This window comes from Homo sapiens, chromosome 2 (genome assembly GCF_000001405.40).
Source record: "Homo sapiens chromosome 2, GRCh38.p14 Primary Assembly".
Taxonomy (NCBI): Eukaryota; Metazoa; Chordata; class Mammalia; order Primates; family Hominidae; genus Homo; species Homo sapiens.
Genome location: NC_000002.12, coordinates 151,244,122 through 151,265,835, shown reverse-complemented (window position 1 = coordinate 151,265,835; position 21,714 = coordinate 151,244,122). Strand labels below are relative to the sequence as shown.

At 41.9% G+C, this 21,714-nt stretch overlaps 1 protein-coding gene across 2 annotated transcripts, besides 2 other annotated features; it reads left to right on the top strand.

Moving 5' to 3' along the window:
* Positions 3,890-4,119: an enhancer, noted in NCBI's record as "active region_16629". NCBI's record gives its function as "activates an Ori minimal core promoter by ATAC-STARR-seq in GM12878 lymphoblastoid cells {active_cell/tissue: GM12878}" and the evidence as "EXISTENCE:reporter gene assay evidence [ECO:0000049][PMID:35858748]".
* RBM43 (RNA binding motif protein 43) lies at positions 3,973-17,896 on the top strand. 2 transcript variants are annotated; one of them, NM_198557.3, is made up of 4 exons: positions 3,973-4,111; positions 10,093-10,303; positions 12,981-13,081; positions 14,172-17,896. In NM_198557.3, the coding sequence occupies exons 1-4, from the start codon at positions 4,109-4,111 to the stop codon at positions 14,928-14,930; spliced, it is 1,074 nt and encodes a 357-aa protein (NP_940959.1). In that variant the 5' UTR covers positions 3,973-4,108; the 3' UTR covers positions 14,931-17,896. The 2 variants fall into 2 exon arrangements, with proteins under 2 accessions (NP_940959.1, XP_047300205.1); XM_047444249.1 differs by lacking the exon at positions 3,973-4,111 and adding an exon at positions 4,300-4,768.
* Positions 4,160-4,429: a silencer, noted in NCBI's record as "silent region_12005". NCBI's record gives its function as "represses an Ori minimal core promoter by ATAC-STARR-seq in GM12878 lymphoblastoid cells {active_cell/tissue: GM12878}" and the evidence as "EXISTENCE:reporter gene assay evidence [ECO:0000049][PMID:35858748]".
* Positions 17,897-21,714: the final 3,818 nt, after the last annotated feature.

The window sequence follows — 21,714 nt, the reverse complement described above, 5'->3', positions numbered from 1 at the left end:
CGTAAGTCCTTATATGTCTTGGTACATAAGACATTTTCTGCAGTTCTGACCTTACTTCAAGGTGATAATTGCTAGGTTGAAAGGCAGAAGGACGAAAAACTCTTTTAAGGATCTTGTTAAGTGAGGCCAGAATTGCTTACTAGAAAGGTAGGCATTGGTTTGTACTTTCATTAACAGTGTAACCAAGCACTATCTCATTGCTCCATTTCAGCACTGAATACTACTTATCTAAACATGTTTTCTTTATTCTATTTTTGGAAATTTTCATAACACATCCCAGGGTTTTATGAAAATAAGTAATTACCAAGATACGGGTGAAACATCCTGTAATGGGTTTTGCTTTAGTTTTTTGGTGTCACAAATGAAAAACGTTCAGGAAAATGTTGATTTTATTTCTTTCTTTCTTTAGAGATGGAGTCTCGCTCTGTCACGCAGGCTGGAGTGCAGTGGCACAGTCTCAACTCACTGCAACCTCCATCTCCCGGGTTCAAGCGATTCTTCTGCCTCAGCCTCCTGAGTAGCTGGGACTACAGGGGCAAGCCACCACGCCCGGCTGATTTTTTTGTATTTTTAGTAGAGACGGGGTTTCACCTTGTTACCCAGGATGGTCTCCATCTCCTGACCTCGTGATCCGCCTGCCTCGGCCTCCCAAAGTGCTGGGATTACAGGCATGAACCACTGCGCCCGGCCCTCCAATTTGATTTTATTAAAGCTTCAAGACAGAAAAGTACAGTGAGGCAAGAGGCCTTATAATTGGGGCTATAAGATGTTAAAAGATTTTCTTGAATGCAGTTTTAGTTAGTAATATGCTGCTAAAATAATTTTGCCACATTTGGAGTCCTCTTTCTTCAAGGGTGTTGGAATAGTTTGGCATATATATGATTAAAGGTTACTGTAGGTCATGTTCGATGGCACAGATAGGTTGACCTGGATTCCCAACTCTAATCCTAGACCTCTCATCATTTTCTGGAGAGAATGGAGACTTCAGTTATGAGTTGGGGAAAGCAAGAAAGACATTCAATATAAACAAACATATAAAGATATTTTCAGAAAGAGGCCAGGGCTATTAAGATGGTATAACGGGGTGATGGAATGATTAAGTAGGAAGATAGACTGGGTGATTAGAGCTAGTCTTTCTGAAGAGAGGTTATTGTGTTGGAGGCTGAAAGATCGAGGGGCATGACTGCCCTCAGCATTCCTTCTGGGTGGCATACTCAGTTTGTCAGTTTGCCAACATTCTGCATTTATGAGAACAGTTTGCTGTTTACCCATACAGCCTCCAGTGGTATACTGAGTTGATCACGACCCTCAGTCTTTCGGCTTTAACATTATTGTAGCTAAGACCCAAGTGACAGCAGGAGCCAGTCAAGTGAAGATCAGGGCGGAGCTATTGAGGCAGGGACACAGTACATAGGTCAGGCAAAACTCCCAGGCTGATAGCTTGTTGCGATTGCAGCAGAGGGTCAGGGCAGTGGTAGGAGATCTGGCCAGAAAAAAAAGGATCAAGGTCATTGTGGCTCAGGTGAAAGCAATGCAAACAATGATGTGTTTAAACAGAAGTCGAATCTGATTTACATTTTAAAAAGATCCTTCTGGGTATGGTAGCAAGAATGGACTGAGGAGCTAGAGAGGATGGAGACTGGATGAGGATGGTAGGGATGCAGCTGGAAAGAGGGACTGATACTGGGTCCCTCTGGAAGGCCCATTGTTGGGGTATACTAAGAAGGATGAGGAAAAGAGAAATCAAGAACTGGGTCATGAGCTTGAGCTCATGGGTAGACAGTGCTGCCAATTCTTGAGAGGGAATTAAGAAGGGGAGAAGAAGGGTTCTCCTTGTTAAATTCAGATGCTTGTTTGACATTCAAGTAGGCACTTAGATATATAAAATCTGGAGATAAAATATAAATTGGGGAATTACATACAGATGTACCTCATTCTGTTTTTTTTTTTTTTTCTTGAGACAGAGTCTTGCTCTGGAGTTCTACTTGTTAAATTTCAGATGCTTGTTTGACATTCAAGTGGGCACTTAGATATATAAATCTGGAGATAAAATATAAATTGGGGAATTACATACAGATCTACCTCATGCTGTTTTTTTTTTTTTTCCTTCTTGAGATAGAGTCTTGTTCTCTCGCCCAGGCTGGAGTGCAGTGGTGTGATCTTGGCTCACTCTGCCTCCCGGGTTCAAGCGATTCTCTAGCCTCAGCCTCCCGAGTAGCTGAGATTACAGGTGTGTGCCACCACGCCCGGCTAATTTTTGTATTTTTAGTACAGACGGGTTTCACCATGTTGCTCAAGCTGGTCTTGAATTCCTGAGCTCAAAATGATCCGCCCACCTTGGCCTCCCAAAGTTCTGGGAATACAGGCGGGAGCCACTTCCCCCTACCTCATTCTGTTTTAAAATCTTCATAGCCTTGTGCCTTACTGATATATCATCAGCCGTATAACAAATAGCTCCATCCAATGATAAACTAGGTGGATCCCAGTTTATAAAAAAATTATTACTACCTGTATTTCAAGCAATGTACAACTAAAATTTCTATACAATATCTTAGTGCCATTTGCGCACTATAACTTCAAGTTCAGTTCTAAAAGTAGAATTGCTGAGACTAAGAATATGTGCATTTTACATTTTTTTGCACTTTACATTTTGATAAAAATCTTTAGAAGTATTTGCATCCATCTATGCTTGCAGCAACTCTGATGCTTACATTCAGGCTAACACTTTCTGGTTTTGCAGATCTAGTTGTGAAAAATGGTATCTTATTATTTCAATTTACATTTCTTAGGAGTGGGATTGGGTTTCTTCATATCTGCTAGCCATCTACCTTTGTTCTTCATGCATTCATTGATTTGATTTTGAAGTTTGTCCAGAGATTCCCTGTGTCCCCACAGGCGCCATTCGGGGTTCCTGTGCTAAGGCATGGACAAGGTGGTGAGCTCTCTGCTGGCAGGGACCTGGCGCTCTCATCCTGTGTCCTTAGCACCCGGCAGAGGTCCAAGAGGGCTCCTGGTCTGGGCTGGGAAGGTGACCAACACGGCGTTGGGGGTTGAGGTGGGGGTTGGGGAACTGGGGTAGGTTGTGCAGAGGAAAAGGCCCAGGTGAGCGGTGGGGGAAGGGGAAGAAGTCTGGACAGATAATAAGGGCGTAGGAAAGACATCCAGATTTCACTGAGTGCAGGGCTTTTTAAAACTGATGTTAGAAAAACTTGATTTGCTGTTGTAAAAAACCATCTGTGTGAAGTAGAAATTGATATCAATAACATGATAGAGAATACGTTCTAAAAAGTAAAGGTAGCTGGATGTAAAATTCTGGCAGAAGTTTAATATCCTAGATGGTTAGTTTGAGGCCAGCAACTAATGAGGATAAAAGCCTTCTCCATGGAAAATTTTGGACAGTTATCTGGAGAAATATTACAGTGCGCATCAACCAAATTGAAATGTTTTCAAAAGTGTTGTAAAGTTTCATGTAGTAAAAAGGTTTTAGCCACATGCCCTTCAATTTCATGGCATCGAATATATAAACACAGAAGAGAGCATGCATGCAAGATATTTAACTCCCTTACATGATAATGCATGCGATTCAAAACTATCATGACATCTAGGGCTCTCTGCAACTACGAGATGATTGATGTTAGGAAAAGCGTAGCCCCCCAGTATCAACACAGGAAGCGGCCACCACCTACTATGTGTTTTCCCTTTTTGCGTTTTTTCTTTTTTTAAATCAACTCTGCCGTTGTTGCTGCTGCTTAGCAAAACGGGTAAAAACAAAATTGCAATCACTGATGCATCACCCAGAGAATTCCCAAATTTCCTGTCGAGGAATCCTCTCGGCCTCTCTCCAGAGTGCTTCCACAAGTTGCAAAACTACGGAGGGCGTCTGGGCAGGCGCTGGCAACAGCACTCCTGAGTCCGAGCTCCCACTCAGAGGCCACGAGGTCGCAGAACAGCCGGATCGGGTGGAAGGACCGCCCTTTTCTTCGTAGCCTCCAAGGGAGCTGGAACAAAAAACGAAACCAAAACCTGCCTGCTCGCTCCTCTCCCCATCGCCTGCGTTCCGCTGGTTGTGGGCTTTCTGCGGCCGCTGAGGGCGCGTCTCCCCTCCGCCATGGCAAGTTGCTTTTGCTTTGGGTTTTGCGGTGCAGGTCCGTGCCTGTACCGTCGCCATGGTCCCCTAGAAGGGCGCGGAACCGGGCGCGACGGGCCAGGGTGCAGGGCTGCGCGGGAGGGGGCGGCGCACGGAGGGGCCCCAGGGACCCCGGGGGCCCCGGAGAGCCGTCCACCCCGGCGGGCAAACTCAGGTCAGCCTCGCTGCACCCTTCCCAGGTGGCGGCATTGCGCGCTCCTGAAATTCACGTACGGCGGTGCAGTATAGGCCCGCTCCAGAGGCTCAGGACTAGGCTGTCACCTCCCACACCCACTGCCCAGGCGACGGGGACGCCGCCGTTCGTCGAGGAGCTGCTTCGCAGGCTGTTAGGGCTTAACTGTTGTCCTCCCACGCCTCGGGGGGAACAAAAGTGGCCTGATTAGCCAGAAATGGAGGTCACAGCTGCCTTTTGAAAAGGGCTAATAAGAACGATTCGAGCCAAGGACGCAAGTCAGGAAGACATCCTCATGTCTTATGTCTGCCTTGGTGCGAATTCTTGTCTTAGCAAATTCAAAATTTATCCTTCTGTGTTTTGTTTTGTTTCCATCAATCGCTTAAAAGCCTTGGCAAGGCCTTTAATTCCTGCTCTGAAATGCTAGAGTCCCGGAAATGCAAAAGCAAGTACGTTTTTGTTGACCTGGTGGCGGTAGAGGCGTCGTCATTGAAAATAAACAACTGATTTTGAGAAAATCAATATAAACAAATGCAGTCAATGAATCTTCTGTTTCTTCCCAATGCCTTACTTACAAAAGTAAAGTTTTGCTATATACTTTTTGCTTTCTGATAAGATGGCCAAGTCTGTTATAACACAATACTGATGCAAGGAAATGCGCCATCACGTTAGTATGTCTTGGCTAAAAGCTGCTCGTTTCAAAGTCCTTGAAAGGACTGTCTTTCTCTAGGCATTTCTTTATCTTAATCGTGGGTAGAAGAGATGAACAACCCTCATTATTCATAATTGACCTCAGTAAAATTATCTATGTTAGCCATACTTTCTCCAACCTATGAAAGGGAGTTAAGGACAAATATTGGCAAGTCATTGAAGTACTAATTCATTAGATGATTCATAGAAACTAGTTCTTACCAAACAAAATTTACATCTTTATGTTTTTTTCTTCTAAAAATACTGGTTCAGGGAGAAGTTTCTTTGATTTTAAAGATAAATTACCAGTAGACATTCGAATAAAGAAATATGGTATTAGTACTAATGAGGGCATAGAGCTGAAGTAAGATTTCCTGAGTTTAAATTGATTGCATGTTTTTCTTTGATATTGTTGGGGTGCAGAAAATGATCTCCCTGCCCGGCACGGTGGCTCACGCCTGTAATCCCAGCACTTTGGGAGGCGAAGGAGGGCGGATCACTTGAGGTCAGGAGTCTCTACTAAAAATACAAAAATTAGCTGGGCGTGATGGCATCCACCTGTAGTCTCAGCTACTGGGGAGGCTGAGGTGGGAGGATCACTTGAGCCCAGGAGGCGGAGGTTGCAGGGAGCCAAGATCACGCCATTGTTCTCCAGCCTGGGCAACAGAGCGAGGCGCTGTCTAAAAAAAAAAAAAGACTTCGAGAGGCCGAGGGGGGAGCGGATCACGAGGTCAGGAGTTTGAGACCAGCCTGGTCAACATGGTGAAACCCCATCTCTACTAAAAATACAAAAATTAGTCGGGCATGGTGGCTGATGCCTGTAGTCCCAGCTACTCAGGAGGCTGGGGCAGGAGAATCGCTTGAACCCGGGAGGTGGAGGTTGCAGTGAGCCAAGATCGCGCCACTGCACTCCAGCGTAGGTGACAGAGCTAGACTCCATCTCAAAACAAACAAACAAACAAAAAACAAGAAAAGAAAAAGATCTCCCAAAAGAAATAAAAACAAATGCAGTGAGTGAATCTTCTATTTCTCCCTAGTGCTTCACTTAGAAAAATAAAGTTTTTCTTTATGCCTTTTTTGCTTTCTGATATGATGGCCCTGCCTTTATTCTTACATTGACAGGGTTGAGCATTTCTGTTTTTTTGTAACCATATTTAAATTTTCAATGTTTTTATTTTTATTTTTTTTGAGACAGAGTCTCACTCTGTCACCCAGGCTGGAGTGCAGTGGTGCGATCTTGGCTCACTGCAACCTCCACCTCCTGTGTTCCAGCCATTCTGGTTCCTCAGCCTCTGGAGTAGCTGGGATTACAGGCGCCTGCCTCCACTAATTTTTGTATTTTTAGTAGAGATGGCGTTTCACTATGTTGGCCAGGCTGATCTCGAACTCCTGACTTCAAGTGATCTGCCCACCTCATCTTCCCAAAGTGTTGGGATTACAGCCGTGAACTACTGCACCTGGCCTTTTTTAAGACTTAGCAGGTTTGGTCTAAAGGTGAAAAACCGATAATAATGTAAACAGTAAATATTGTTTATAGCAGGTCCCAATAGTGTGCTATGATTACTTTTTCTCCTTTTGGTCCAGTGTTATGTGTATTTTTCCTTTTCCACTTCTAGGAAAATGTTCCCAGCAAATGGGTCAAATGGATTTTCTTTCTTTCTTTCCTTTCTTTCTTCCTTTTTTTTTTTGGGGACGAAGTCTCCCTCTATTGCCCAGGCAGGCTGGAGTGCAGTGGTGCTCACTATAACCTCTACCTCCCAGGTTCAAGCCATTCTCCTGCCTCAGCCTCCCAAGTAGCTGGGACTACAGGCATGTGCCACCACGCCCAGCTAATTTTTGTAGTTTTAGTAGAGTTGGGGTTTCACCATGTTGGCCGGGCTGGTCTCGAACTCCTGACCTTAGGTGATCTGCCCGCCTCATCCTCCCAAAGTGCAGGGATTACAGGTGTGAGCCACCGTGCCCGGCCTGCATTCCATAATTTACTTAAAATCATGCAAGTACTTTAGTTTTCTTATGATTTTTAGGCTGGGGCCCCTTCAAATCCCAGAAATGGGAGAGAACTTGCTCTGGGATATACATGCTAGCAGGTTCTCTCTGAAGTGTTCATTCAGGCATTTTTTGTTTTTGAGACAGAGCCTTGCTCTGTCACCCAGGCTGGAGTGCAGTGGTGCCATCCTGGCTCACTGCAGCCTCGATCTCCTGTGCTCAAGCGATCCTCCTATCTCCGCCTCTGGAGTAGCTAGCTGGGACTATAGGTGTGCACCACCACACCCGGCTAATTTTTTCTGTTTTTGATAGAGACTAGGTTTCACCATGTTGGCCAGGCTGGTCTGGAACTCCTGGCCTCAAGTGATCCGCCCACCTTGACCTCCCAAAGTGCTGGAATTACAGGCATGAGCCACCATGCACAGTCAGGCTTTTCAGGCCTTTTTTTTTTTTTTTAAAGTAAAATAATCCTCAAGTTTTTTTCCTTGTGGTTTGGCCCAGCTGCCTTCATTACAGCATGTTATGTGCATGTCCAATCTTGTGTGCACTGGGGGTAGGGAATGTGAGGAGACAGCTGGAGCAGTTGTTTTACCAATACCCTGTCAACAAACCCTTGGTTTGGTCCCTTTATTTCTGAGGTTCTGCTCTGAAAGTCGTCACCTGTTCACTATAACCCCCTTTTGCATATTCTGAGTTAGCTCTTTCCCTCTGTCTTATCGTTCCATATACTTCCATGTATTTTCTTTTCTTTTTCTTTCTTTCTTTTTTTTTTAGATGGAGTTTTGCTCTTGTCGTCCAGGGCTGGAGTGCAATGGCACAATTGGGCTCACTGCAACATCCGCCTCCCTGGTTTAAGCTATTCTCTTGCCTCAGCCTCCTGAGTAGCTGGATTACAGGTGCCTGCCACCACACCCAGCTAATTTTTGTATTTTTAGTAGAGACGGCATTTCACCATGTTGGCCAGGCTGGTCTAGAACTCCTGACCTCAGGTGATCCACCAGCCTTGGCCTCCCAAAGTGCTGGGATTACAGGCGTGAGCCACCACGCCCGGCCACTTCCATGTGTTTTCAATCTTCATTTGTTGAACTCTCCTGTGCTGATTGCTCCCTTCAACTGGGTTTATTGTTTTTAAAATTATCTTTTTTTTGTGAAGGAGTTTCACTCTTGTTGCCCAGGATGGAGTGAAATGGGGCGATCTCGGCTCACCCCAACCTCCGCCTCCTGGGTTCAAGCAATTCTCCTGCCTCAGCCTCCAGAGTAGCTGGGATTACAGGCATGCACCACCATGCCAGGCTAATTTTTTGTATTTTTAGTACAGACGGGGTTTCTCCATGTTGGTCAGGCTGGTCTCGAACTCCCAACCTCAGGTGATCTGCCTGCCTCGGCCTCCCAAAGTGCTAGGATTACAGGTGTGAGCCACCGTGCCTGGCCTTCTTTTTAAAATTGTTTTACTTTCATTTTATGGGGCTCTTGGGATGGACAGGACACTGTGTGTGTGTGTGTGTGTTTGTGTGTGTGTGTGTGTGTGTTTGTGCACGCATGCGTGCTCTTACACTGTCTTCCTGATCTGGTAGGTCAGAAATAGTTTCAGTGGAGTCCTGTTGAATAGAGAGGCCTCTGGACTGAGGGCCCCAAATTCCTTTCAGGTCTGCTAACCATCGCTGTAGCCCATGAGCTGTCCTGTCCAACCCTGGGTAGCTTAGGACAGTTTATGTTTGAGCTCGGGTGGACTGTTTAAAAATTGGGAGAAGCTTATAAATCCACTTCCCTAAATGAGGCTGAGGGACAAATTAAAGCATTTAAATAGAAGCCTTAACTGGATAATATAAGTTCAAAGAGATTGAGCCCAACAAAGGGTCTACTTGCAGTTGATACTCTGTGCCCAGCATGGTGGCAGGGTCTGCAATAGTGTGTACTTGCTGTGGCTGACTTTCATGTCCGATATGTGCTGGAAGTCAGGCTTTACTCCACTGCAGTCCCCATGTTCTTGCCAGGGGTTGGTTGGTTTGTTTATTTATTTATTTAGAAACAGAGTCTCTTGTTTCCCAGGCTGGAGTGCAGTGGTGTGATCTGGACTCACTGCAACCCCCGCCTCCTGGGTTCAAGTGATTCTCCTGTCTCAGTTTCATGAGTAGCTGGGATTACAGGCGCCCGCCATCACGCCCAGCTGCTTTTTGTATTTTTAGTAGAGATGGGGTTTCACCATGTTGGCCAGGCTGGTCTGGAACTCCTGATGTCAGGTGATCTGCCTGCTTCAGCCTCCCAAACTGCTGGGATTACAGGTGTGAGCCACTATCCATGGCCCAATGTTTTATTTTTTTATGGTAACTTTCCTGATTCTGACAATAAAAGTAGGGGATGTGTTTCTTACTGTCTTACATACTTTAGACTCTACAATGTAAAGAAAACATACAGCCACCTCCAAATACCATATTTTGTGGTTAGTTTGACTTATTTTTAATTAATAAATTTTTAAATTTATGTTTTTGATCTTTTCCTTTGTAACTTCTTCCATTATTTTTAGGCCTTCCTAAATCAGACAAATATTAACCAATATTTTCCACTTATGAAAAAAAGGGTGGCTGGGCGTGGTGGCTCATGCCTGTAATCCCAGCACTTAGAGTGGCTGAGGCAGCAGATCTCTTGAGGTCAGGAGTTCAAGACCAGCCTGGCCAACATGGTGAAACCTCGTGTCTACTAAAAATACAAAAATTAGCTGGGTGTGGTGGTGGGCACCTGTAATCCCAGCTACTTGAGGGGCTGAGGCAGGAGAATCGCTTGAACCTGGGAGGCAGAGATTGTAGCGAGCTGAGATCATACCACTGCACTCCAGCCTGGGTGACAGAGTGAGACTCCATCTCAAAAAAGAAAAAAAGAAGGGTTTAATTTTTACATTTAACTCTTAAATTCATATAGAGTTTATGTTGGTATATGGTGTGAGGCAAGGATTTACTCCCCTACACCCCTTTTAAAAAGTATCTAACCAGCTGCACCGGCACTTTTATAGAATAAGATATTCTCTCCACTGAAGTGTGATGTCATCTTTATTATATAGAGTCTTGTGTTTTTAAAGAATAACCTGCTGTTTCTCTTACAGGCATCAGTTTTGAATGTCAAGGAATCCAAAGCTCCTGAAAGAACGGTTGTAGTTGCTGGTCTTCCAGTTGACCTTTTTAGTGATCAATTATTGGCCGTATTAGTGAAGAGCCACTTCCAAGACATTAAGAATGAGGGCGGAGATGTTGAAGATGTGATATATCCGACAAGAACCAAGGGAGTTGCATATGTAATATTCAAAGAAAAAAAAGGTATTTCCAAGTCAAATTTTTGTAATTTTAGAAATACTTCTTCAATAAAATTTAAAAATTACATTTTATTAAAATGATCCACGGAATTGGTAAATTTTAAAGTAGTTTTTTTTTTGAGACACAGTCTCACTCTGTTGCCCAGGTTAGAGTGCGGTGGCATGATCTCAGCTCACTGCAACCTCTGCCTCCCAGGTTCAAGTGATTCTCCTGCCTCAGCCTCCTGAATAGCTGGGATTACAGGAGGCGCCTGCCATCACGCCCAGCTAAATTTTTTATTTTTAGTAGAGACAGAGTTTCACCATGTTGGCCAGGTTGGTCTCGAACTCCTGACCTCAAGTGATCTGCCTGCCTCAGCCTCCCAAAGTACTGGGATTACAGGCATGAGCCACCACGCCTGGCTAAAGTAACTTTAAAAAAAAATATTTTATTGTGAATATACAAATGGCACGATATTGCTTTAGGAAGAAAAGATATGAAAATGGCTCATGATAAAGTTGTTAGTGACTGGCAAATTCTTGAAAACTTTCTTCTGTATTTTGAATCTGTCTATATCTTGGGGTGAAAGTGTTACATTTTATTGTAGAAAACCTGTAAAATACCGACAAAATGGAGAAAAACCCCACAAAGATGATATATAATCTCATAAACAAGATGACTACTTTGGGAATTTTCAGGTGGCCTCAATTATATATTTTAGAATAAATGGATATTCTAATATAGTATCTGCCTTATTACTGGCAAAGTTGAATTGAGAAGTGTGGCTTGGATTTGAGATCAGAATGAGCCATTCTGCTCCCTGCACCCAATCCCTGACTTAGATGGTGAGGAAGTTGGGTTGGCAGAGCACACATACCCCTTCAGCCTCATGGAACGGGCAACCTTCTTTACAGCTTAGTGGCTGGCAGAAAATACATTGCCAGAGAAAAACAAGTCTCCATGCCAGGCTCTTGGAGGTGAACATACCACATGGGGGTTGGAGCAGAGCAAGAGAACTTGCTTTGCTTGAGGGATGACAGAGTCCAGAGAAAGATCCAAGGCACTATGGATTTTCAGTACCTTTAGCTGTCACCATTAATTAAGTCATTCCTTCTCAATGGGGATGTTCAGGTAAGGGATGGCAGGAGGGGCTCAGGGGCTCATTTTTTCTCTAAGGAGATGGTAGTGTTTTTGAAAGTTAATATTTTATATGTTGAATTGGCAACTCAGAGAGACAGAGAGAGAGAGAAAGAGAGAGAGAGAGAGAGATTGGCCTCGGTCATTCATTCATAAATATTTTCTGAGTACCTGTTATTTACCAGGCAGCATGCTGGGTCTTGAGGATACAGCAATAAGTGAAATAGGCAAAGCCTTTTTTTTCTTGAGATGTACATCTGGACAGATTTTAAACAAATGAATCTATAATATGTTTGGTGCTTTATTTATTTATATAAAACTTAGATATTTGTTTATTTAAATATATTTATGATTATATATTCATAAATAAGTGCTACGACAAGACATAAAGAAGAATAAAGGGATAGAATATGACGGAAAGTGCTGTTTTAGATGAATAGGAAGGGAAATGCTCTGTTTAGATGACATTTGAGCAGAGGCCAAGGGAATAATTCATACAGATAAGTGGGGAGAACATTCTAGGCCAAGGGAGGGACTGGTAATTTTGTGAGTGGGGAGCATGCTGGGTGTGTGGAAGAACAGCAAGGAGGCCTGTGTGGCTGGAGTGGAATGAGCTGGGGGAGAGTGATAGGAGATGTGGTTAGATGGGGAGCCGGGGCCAGTTTATGCTCAGTAACTGCTGGATCATGGAAAGGTGTCTGGGATTTTATTCTGGGGTGAGATGGAAGGTTTCAAGCAGGGGATTGACAAGATTGGACTGCCTTTTCTTAAATGAGCAACCTAGCAGCTGTTTGAACAACAGGAATTACTACTCATCGTTGGCTTTGATAGGGCAGTACCAGGGCAGGTGATAAGAACTGGTGGGTATTCGGGACATGTTGATGGATTAAATATCATTTTCTGTGGTGGAGAACACTGGGGATAGAATACATTTGGGAGGGAGATAGTTATCAACAGTTCAGTTTGGGTCAATGAGATGCCTATTAGGATAATGAGGTAGAGAGTTCTACAGGCAGAAGGGAGAAAGATCGAGGCTGAAGATAGAATTTTGAAAGCGATTCACGTAGAGATGTTGTCTAAAGCCATAGAGATGGTTGAGATCACCCAGGGGATGGGGTACAGGTTAGCAAAGAAGCATGAGGCCTGAGGTCCAGGTCTCGCCAACATCTAGAGAATGGGAAGAGAGGAGGATTAGGAAGGAGACTCAGCAGGTCAGCCAGTGAATTGGGAGGAAAACCAGAACAGTATGATATCTTGGATCAAGAATGTAAAGTCTTCTTGTGACTAGAATTAACAGAGATGGGGATATACCTTTACATTTTTGTTTTTTATTCATGCATATAATACCTTGTGTGCTTTATAACATGATTTGGATAATATTTACACATAAAATGAACTTTAATGAGTTAAAGTGCAACAAAAAAGTGATTTGAATGTTGAATTTAGAGGAAAAATGTAGAAAAAAATCTTAGACATTCTTCTATAATTGAATATGCCTATTTTTATTAAAAAATTATTAGTGTATCATGCCATAAACACTTCTGATGCCAGTGTTTCCACTTAGTTGCAGAGAATGTCATCAGACAAAAGAAACACTGGCTAGCAAGGAAGACTAGACATGCTGAACTCACAGTCTCTCTCAGAGTCTCTCATTTTGGTGACAAGGTAAGGTGTGATGCTGTAGGTGTACTGATAGTCCTGTATCCCATTTCTTTTTTGAAGTTTTTCTTATGGCAGGCGACACAAAGTGCTCTCACTCCATGACTTCTAGGAAGGAAAATGCAAACTCCCTGAGTCAGTGTTAAAGGCCAACCCTGGCCCTTGAAATTTTGGTTATCACCTCATCTATTTTTATCTTTCTATGTGTGTCACTTAATGTTTTATTTTACAAAGTGTATATTTTTTGAGAAAAGGTCTTGCTCCGTCACCCAGGCAGTGGCATAATCTTGGCTCACTCTAAACTCTGCCTCTTGGGCTCAGGTGATTCTCCTGCCTCAACCTCCCGAGTAGCTGGGACTATAGGTGTGTACCACCAGGCCTGGCTAATTTTTGTAGTTTTTGTAGAGACAGGGTGTCCCTATGTTGCCCAAGCTGGTCTCAAACTCCTGGACTCAAGCAGTCCTCCCACCTCAGCCCCCCAAAGTGCTGGGATTACAGGGGTGAGCCACCACGCCCAGCCTCACTTAATGCTTTTAAAGTGATGGTAAACGCTTATACTGTCATGGATGATGCCAGGTACCAACCTAAAGGCTTATTTTGGGAAAAAACAATTAGAATGAACATTAAAAAGAAGCTTTGAAGAGACAGAAAGTAAGAAAAAGAGGAAAAAGTTAAAATCCAAAGCAATGGTTTACCAACTTGATTCTGTAAGACACTCAGAGTTGTATGCAGCCATCTGATGAACTTGACTGGGGGCAGGAATGACTCCTGGGGGAACCCTATCCAAGCAGAACCAGAACAGTTTGTATGTATTGGTTCTGCATAAAACTGTTTCAAAAAAGAATTCTGCCTCTAAAAATTATTTGAGCCTGTCTGTTTTGGGGTATGTGGTGAGGGAGTGTGAATCCCAAATTGAACAAAATGGGATAACTTTGATGGGCTGCCCTGGTGCAAGAAGTCAGGAAGTCTGGGGCAGGCAACTGGGGCCTGGTTTATTGCAATTTCTGCAGAGAAAAGAAAGTGGCAGAAAAGAACATGTTTATGTAGTCTTTCCCACTAGGCAGTACTGTTTTCATTTCTCTCTTTTTAATTTCAGATCTTCAGCTCTGTAAATGCCATCCTTGATCTTTCTGTTTTTGGAAAAGAAGTTACTCTAGAAACTCTGGTAAAAGACCTGAAAAAAAAAATCCCGAGTTTAAGCTTCAGTCCTTTGAAACCCAATGGAAGAATCTCCGTGGAAGGATCATTTCTGGCTGTCAAGAGGCTCAGAGAATCTTTGCTAGCAAGAGCATGTTCTCTCTTAGAAAAAGACAGAAATTTTACCAGTGAGGAGAGAAAGTGGAATAGACAAAATCCCCAGAGGAATCTACAGAGAAGTAATAACTCTTTGGCATCAGTCAGGACCTTAGTACCTGAGACTGCTAGAAGTGGAGAAATGCTTGTGCTTGACACAGATGTTTTTCTTTACCTGAAACACAAGTGTGGATCTTATGAAAGCACACTGAAAAAATTCCACATTCTGAGTCAGGAGAAAGTGGATGGTGAAATCACCACAATTTGTCTAAAAAGCATTCAAGTTGGTTCTCAGCCAAACAATGCAAAACATGTAAAAGAGCTCATTGAGGAATGGTCACATGCTCTTTACTTAAAGCTTAGAAAAGAGACATTTATTTTGGAAGGAAAGGAAAATAGAGAGAAAAGAATGATCAAAAGGGCATGTGAACAATTAAGTTCGAGATACCTTGAAGTCCTGATTAACCTTTATAGGACACACATTGACATTATAGGATCTTCTTCTGACACTTACCTGTTTAAAAAAGGGGTCATGAAATTAATAGGGCAAAAGGTTAGTTAATAAAATCTCAGCAATATAGTCATAAGGGCTGCTTTCTCTTGCTGAGCAGTGACCATTGCCATGAATGAGGCTAGCTTTACACACCGTATCTCATGAATCCTTATAGTCATCCTTCTTTGTCAGTGTTGACTATCCTCATGTTACAGCGGAAGAAACTAGGATTTGGAGAAGTTAAAACACTTTTCTGAAGTTATCCAGTTGACAAAGAATGAGGCTGTGGCTTAGCCCAGTCTATCTGATTACACAGATAATATCTAAGGAATAAAACTTTGAAAAAAACTCACCAAACTTTTTTTTTTTTTTTTTTGAGATGGAGTCTCGCTCTGTTGTCCAGGCTGGAGTGCAGTGGCGTGATCTCGGCTCACTGCAACGTCCACCTCCTGGGTTCACACCATTCTCCTGCCTCAACCTCTGGAGTAGCTGGGACTACAGGTGCCCACCACCACGCCCGGCTAATCTTTTTGTATTTTTTTAGTAGAGATGGGGTTTCACCGTGTTAGTCAGGATGGTCTCCATCTCCTGACCTTGTGATCCACCCGCCTCGGCCTCCCAAAGTGCTGGGATTACAGGCGTGAGCCACTGCGCCCAGCAAACTCACCAAACTTTGAAGGAATCTTACTTTCTCTGTAACTCCAAATTATTAGAGAATAATAATTATTAAGAAGTAGCCTTAACATATGAGAAATTTGAAAGGTGATTATTATGCCATGGGCAATTTCTTAACATTTACAGTTTGTGTTTACTCCGTGTAGAATTAGAATACTGGCAAAAATCACTGGGGAAACTACTTAGATGGAAAGCATATCTTATGCAGGTAATCATTATTTGACTAAATTCTATTGTTTCAAGGCTGCTGGCCACATAGGATGTTTTTACTATTTTTTTAGCCTAAGTGCTTACATAAAATGGTGATTCTTTTATAATTGTGCAAGTTGATAATATTAATTGAGTCATTCTTGTCACATCCAACTAAAACAGACTCAAGAAGCTAGGGGGAAAAAGTACTTGGGACACATAATATTGCTCCAAGAATGTAATTCTCTGTGAGCCTGGCTACTGAAACTGCTTGCTGTAACCTGAGACCAGTTTTGTCTATAGCTGCTGAGATAACTTGCTGTAACTCTAGGACTAATTTTACCTATGGCCATTGCCCACCAGTTGGAGCTTGCCAGCTCCCCAGGGCTTTACTAATACCAATGAACTTTCTCTTAAGATCACAAGTTGGCCGGGCGTGGTGACTCATACCTGTAATCCCAGCACTTTGGGAGGCCGAGGCGGGTGGATCACAAGGTCAGGAGATTGAGACCATCCTGGCTAACATGGTAAAACCCCATCTCTACTAAAAATACAAAAATTAGCCGGGCATGGTGGTGGGCGCCTGTAGTCCCACCTACTCGGGAGGCTAGAGGCTGAGGCAGGAGAATGGCGTGAACCCGGGAGGTGGAGCTTGCAGTGAGCCAAGACTGCACTACTGCACTCCAGCCTGGGTGACAGAGCGAGACTCCGTCTCAAAAAAAAAAAAAAAAAAAAAAGAAAGACCACAAGTAACATTCTTAGTTTTAAATAAAACCCTCAACCTTCTCTTTGTTTGTTGGACATACTAAAGATCACCTAGAATTGAAATTCTTTCTTCTCAAAACATTAAATTTAGTTTTGTGTCTACATTTTCATTTTGACTTTGACATGCATGGTGTCAGAAGTGGGATACAAAGCTGACTCACCTCATGGAGAATCATTGGCCTTTGGAGTTATGGCATGAGGTACCCATGTTGGGGCCCTTTGAACCCCCTACACCCCCACCACTTTCACAGGTAATCCTTTCTCCCTCCAGTAAGTATCTCTTGGACAGAACTCTCAGATATGGTTCGAGTTCTGTTTTATTTGGGATATGATTAGGGAGAGGTCTTTCCCCCTCTTGTTTGGTAGATCTGTTGGGTAGAATTATTTTCCCCCTGTTGACCTCAGCTGCGAGGTTTGGACCTTGAGGCTTGGATGAGGGAATTTTTCCCTTTCTTTGGAGAAGGCTTATCATTCTTACTGGTAAGCATGTATTTTATTTTCTGTCCTGTCTTGTATTTATTTGGCCTTTGTGTATTCAGTGCTTGCATTTACTTGGCTTTTGCATAGTTGACATTAAATCAGAGCACCCACGAAATGAGCTCTCAAAGTTCAAAGGCATGCCAGAATATTTTCTGGAACTCCAGCTAGTAACATATTCAAACATTACAGGGATCATTTAGTCTGTTTTTCTTAAAACTGAACTAAAAGATGGAGGCTATAAAATCATACACTCCAAATAAGATATGCATATTTCATTGATATCTTGAGGCTAAAAAAAAATAAAAACAAAAACAAAACACATTCAGGATACAAATATTGCCTTGTTAAAAAATACTGTCTCAAAGGTGGCTGAAACTTTCTTTTCTAGACCTTTCCCCTCCCCTTCTTACAGTATCCCCTCTTTATCCTTCTCTAAACAGCTATTCTAACATACTACTTAAATAAAAACACTTGAAAACCAGCAGATATAAAACAAAGTCATTTTGACCTTCCTACTGTTTTTTTTTTAAAGCAAAGATTAAATTCCCATGTAAAACCTTCCTCCCTATACAAAAAAGAATAGCAGCATTTTTATCTTCAATGACAAAGAATTGAGTCCAAGAAAATACTGTATAAACCTTGTTAAAAATCACTCTTGTCTTTTGGTCCTACTCACATAATTCAGCACACTTTCACAGTTAACTATTTTTTGTTCAATTTAGTGCACTGGTGAGTGACTCAAACTGCTTTATCCCAAATTTGATTTACAGCCTTTATAAGATTGCCTATTAAAAAAGCTTAAAGCTTATCCTTAGCCCATTTTGTCAGAAAAATAATTTGCATCTAATCATTTTTATAAACTGGTGAATTTACGTGTTTTACTATATCATGACTAAAATTCTAAAATAAAAGTTTTAATATCTTTATGTATATGTGTTTAAATGTGTTTATGTGTATGTACATATATTATGTTGAATGTTGTATCTACATAAAAGCTGGTGTAGTCAGCCAGAAATCCCTTAACAAATTTTATTCTGATTGGTTTAAATAAATGAGCACTCATATAAAATGTATAGTAATTAACCCCCAGTTTTTTTTAGTTGATGTGACTTAAGTAAATCTTTGATAAATTAATTGGTTTTAAAATTGTGGATAAAATAAAATTAGAAATGTCTTCAAAATTGTCAGCAGACATTTTTGTCTGGGTTTACTGGTCAGACAGTTTTATATTTGCCTCTGCTAGATGTTTTAAAGTCATAAAGCCTAAAACAAAATGATCTTTGTTTATATAGTTTTTAAATAAATATGATTATATTGTTGTTTTAATAAAAATAGCTGTAACTTTTCTGAGTTAGCAACAGGGTGGCTGTTTTTAACTTTAAGGTTCTTACTTAAACCTTAATATCAAGATAAATACTTCATGGTAACAGTCTATAAAACTGATTAATAAAAACAATGACTAGTTCTATCTCAATTTTCATAAATCTAGGAATAATTGAGAAATAAATCTTATAAATGAAATAAACATTTATAAATGAGCTTTTCATGTAATTTTAAAATCTTAAAATTATGTTAAATGATACTCATTAAATGTCTGGATCATATCCAAATTAAAAAAAAATTGCTAAATACATAGACATTTGTTCTTGGCTTCTTAGGTTTTATAAAAGGACTAAAAGTATTTCGGTCTATTAATCAAAATATAAATTTAGGAAAATACAATTGATGTATTAAAAATTATATGGTAAATTTTTATCCTAAGATAAAATAATTGGTTGTTAAAAATTTTATTTTTTATTTTTATTTTTTGAGACCGAGTTTTGCTCTTATTGCCCAGGCTAGAGTGCAATGGTGCAGTTCCAGCTCACTGCAACCTCTGCCTCTTGGGTTCAAGTAATTCTCCTGCCTCAGCCTCCCAAGTAGCTGGGATTACAGGCACCTGCCACCACACCAGGCTAATACATTTTTTTTTTTTTTTTTGAGACGGGGTCTCACTCTGTCACCCAGGCTGGAGTACAATGGCGCGATCTTGGCTCACTGCAACCTCTGCCTCCCGGGTTCCAGCGATTCTCCTACCTCAGTCTCCCTAGTAGCTGGGATTACAGGCATGCACCACCATGCCTGGCTAATTGTTGTACTTTTAGTAGAGGGGGGTTTCACCATGCTGGCCAGGCAGGTCTCGAACTCCTGACCTCAGGTGATCCACCCACCTTGGCCTCCCATCTTCCTGGAACTTTTTGAAACAGCAAGAACTCAAGGTGCAACAGTTACAGGTGGATACTTTTTCATAGCACATACCCCCAAAAACCTGGGGATCCTGGGTTACATAATGAGCTCCTTCTTGGATTATTTGCAAGAGTCTTCTAAGTGGGCCTTAATTCACCCTGTACACCACTACCAAATTCATGTGTCTGAAGTGATTCCTGGTATCTGGGAGGCTTAGACTGGAGGTCTGGTGTTAATTGCCCCACTCTGAAATTTCACTGCTATATTTAATATTTAATCATTTTATTAAATATTTAATATTTAATCATTTTATTAAATATTTAATATTTAATCTCGTATTGTCTTTTTTACCCACTTATAGCATGTATTTTCTGAAAGGTGTAACTTAATCATGCCCATAAAAATGCAGTATTTCATTATGTATTCACTGACACTTTTTGGTTTTTTTAAATGTCTGTTTTTAGATGTGAATAACTTTCTTTCCCTCCTCCTGAGGACTAAAGTCTGATTTTTTATCTTGCCCAAATTCCTATCTAAGGGGTCTGGGGAGTCATGCCCTGCAAACCATAAACTCTCATCAGATGGGTTTTATTTAACCCTGTATATCGTGACTTGCTTCCAATCTGGCATGACAAGGAAGAAAATAAAAATGTTTTACCCCAAAATATATTTCCTTGCCATATCTTGAAACTGCCCTGCAAAGTTTCTTGTGGGAAAAATCCACATTCTATAGAGAATCCCCTTCCCCCTTTGTTTTCCTTCTTCCTTTCCAGATCCAGGAGATAATCAACTGAGAGCCAGGGACCATTTTAAATCCAATAAGAAACATTTTACAACCTGCTCTCTCTGAAGTCTGCTATCTGAGAGCTTCTTCTGCACAATAAAACTTGGTCTCCACAATCCTTTATCTTAACCGGAACATTTCCTTTCTATTGATCCCAGGTCTTCGGATAAACTCAACCAACTGTCAACTAGAAAATGTTTAAATTTACCTATAGCCTGGAAACCACCACTTTGAGCTGTCCTGCCTTTCTGAACCAAACCAATGTATTTCGTAAATGTATTTGATTGATGTCTCATGCCTTCCTAAAATATGTAAAACTAAACTGTACCCCGACCACCTTGGGCACATGTTCTCAGGACCTCCTGAGGGCTGTGTCACGGGCCATGGTCACTCATATTAGGCTCCGAATAAATCTCTTCAAATATTTCACAGAGTTTGACTCTTCATCAATACCCCCAAAGCTAGTAAGCATCATTTACTTACAGGCAGTCCTGTGTGTTAGAAGGATACTGCCTATATGGCAGTCAGAGCAGAGTGGTTGAGGGCATGGGTTTTTTGGCTTGATAGATTTGAGGCTGAATTTTGGCAATACTACTTACTGACTTGTGGCTTCCATTGCACATCTATAAAATGGGGATAATAGCTACTGTTAGAAGCATGTGAACCAGAACAACTCCATCTTGAATAGGAGCTGGGTAAAATGAGGCTGATACCTACTGGGCTGCATTCCCAGACGGGTAAGGCATTCTAAGTCACAGGATGAGACAGGAGGTTGGCACAAGATACATGTCATAAAGTCCTTGCTGGTAAAACAGGTTGCAGTAAAGAAACCAGCTAAAACCCACCAAAACCAAGATGGTGACGAGAGTGACCTCCGGTGATCCTCACTGCTACACTCCCACCAGCGCCATGACAGTTTGCAAATGCCATGGCAATGCCAGGAAGTTACCCTATATGGTCTAAAAAGGGGAGGCATGAATAATCCACCCATTGTTTAGCATATCATCAAGAAATTACCATAAAGATGGGCAACCAGCAAGCCCGGACTGTCTATGAAGTAGCCATTCTTTTATTCCTTTACTTTCTTAATAAACTTGTTTTTGCTTTACTCTGTGGACTCATCCTGAATTATTTCTTGCACGAGATCCAAGAACCCTCTCTTGGGGTCTGGATCTGGACCCCTTTCCTGTAACACTATGACCTCATAAGATTTTGTGACAATCAGGTGAAGCTGTCAGCCTGGGGCTGGGCTCCTTGTAACTAACAGTAGCCAGCCGTTCCTCTGATTCCTGCCAGTCAAGGGAGAGAAAGTGATGCAGTTCAGAGTAATAAGGGAAGGCGATTTTCTTTTGCTTCAGGCCTTTTTCTGTAGTAGAAAAACAGGGGAAGGAAGACCATGCTTGATATTACAAATCTCTTATCTTACAGATACAGAGGTATAACTGAAGCAGGGTTCATTGTTTCACAACATAGTTTTGAGAGGGAATATCAGAATTCTGTCCTGATGTTTTTTATGCCCTAGGGCAGAAGGAGTGGTTTGTGTCCTGGTGGAAGACAATAGGCCACCCCAGCTTTTGAGAGGGCAGAGCTCTGGCTTCATTATGTTAAGGAACCGCCGGGTTCTTCTCTAGTCTGGAGCATCTTAAAGGAACCACGGAGATAGCTCTATATAATGCCTCTAGGAGTGTGGATCAGAATCGATTCTTTTGGTTTTCAAATTTCCCCTCTGATTTA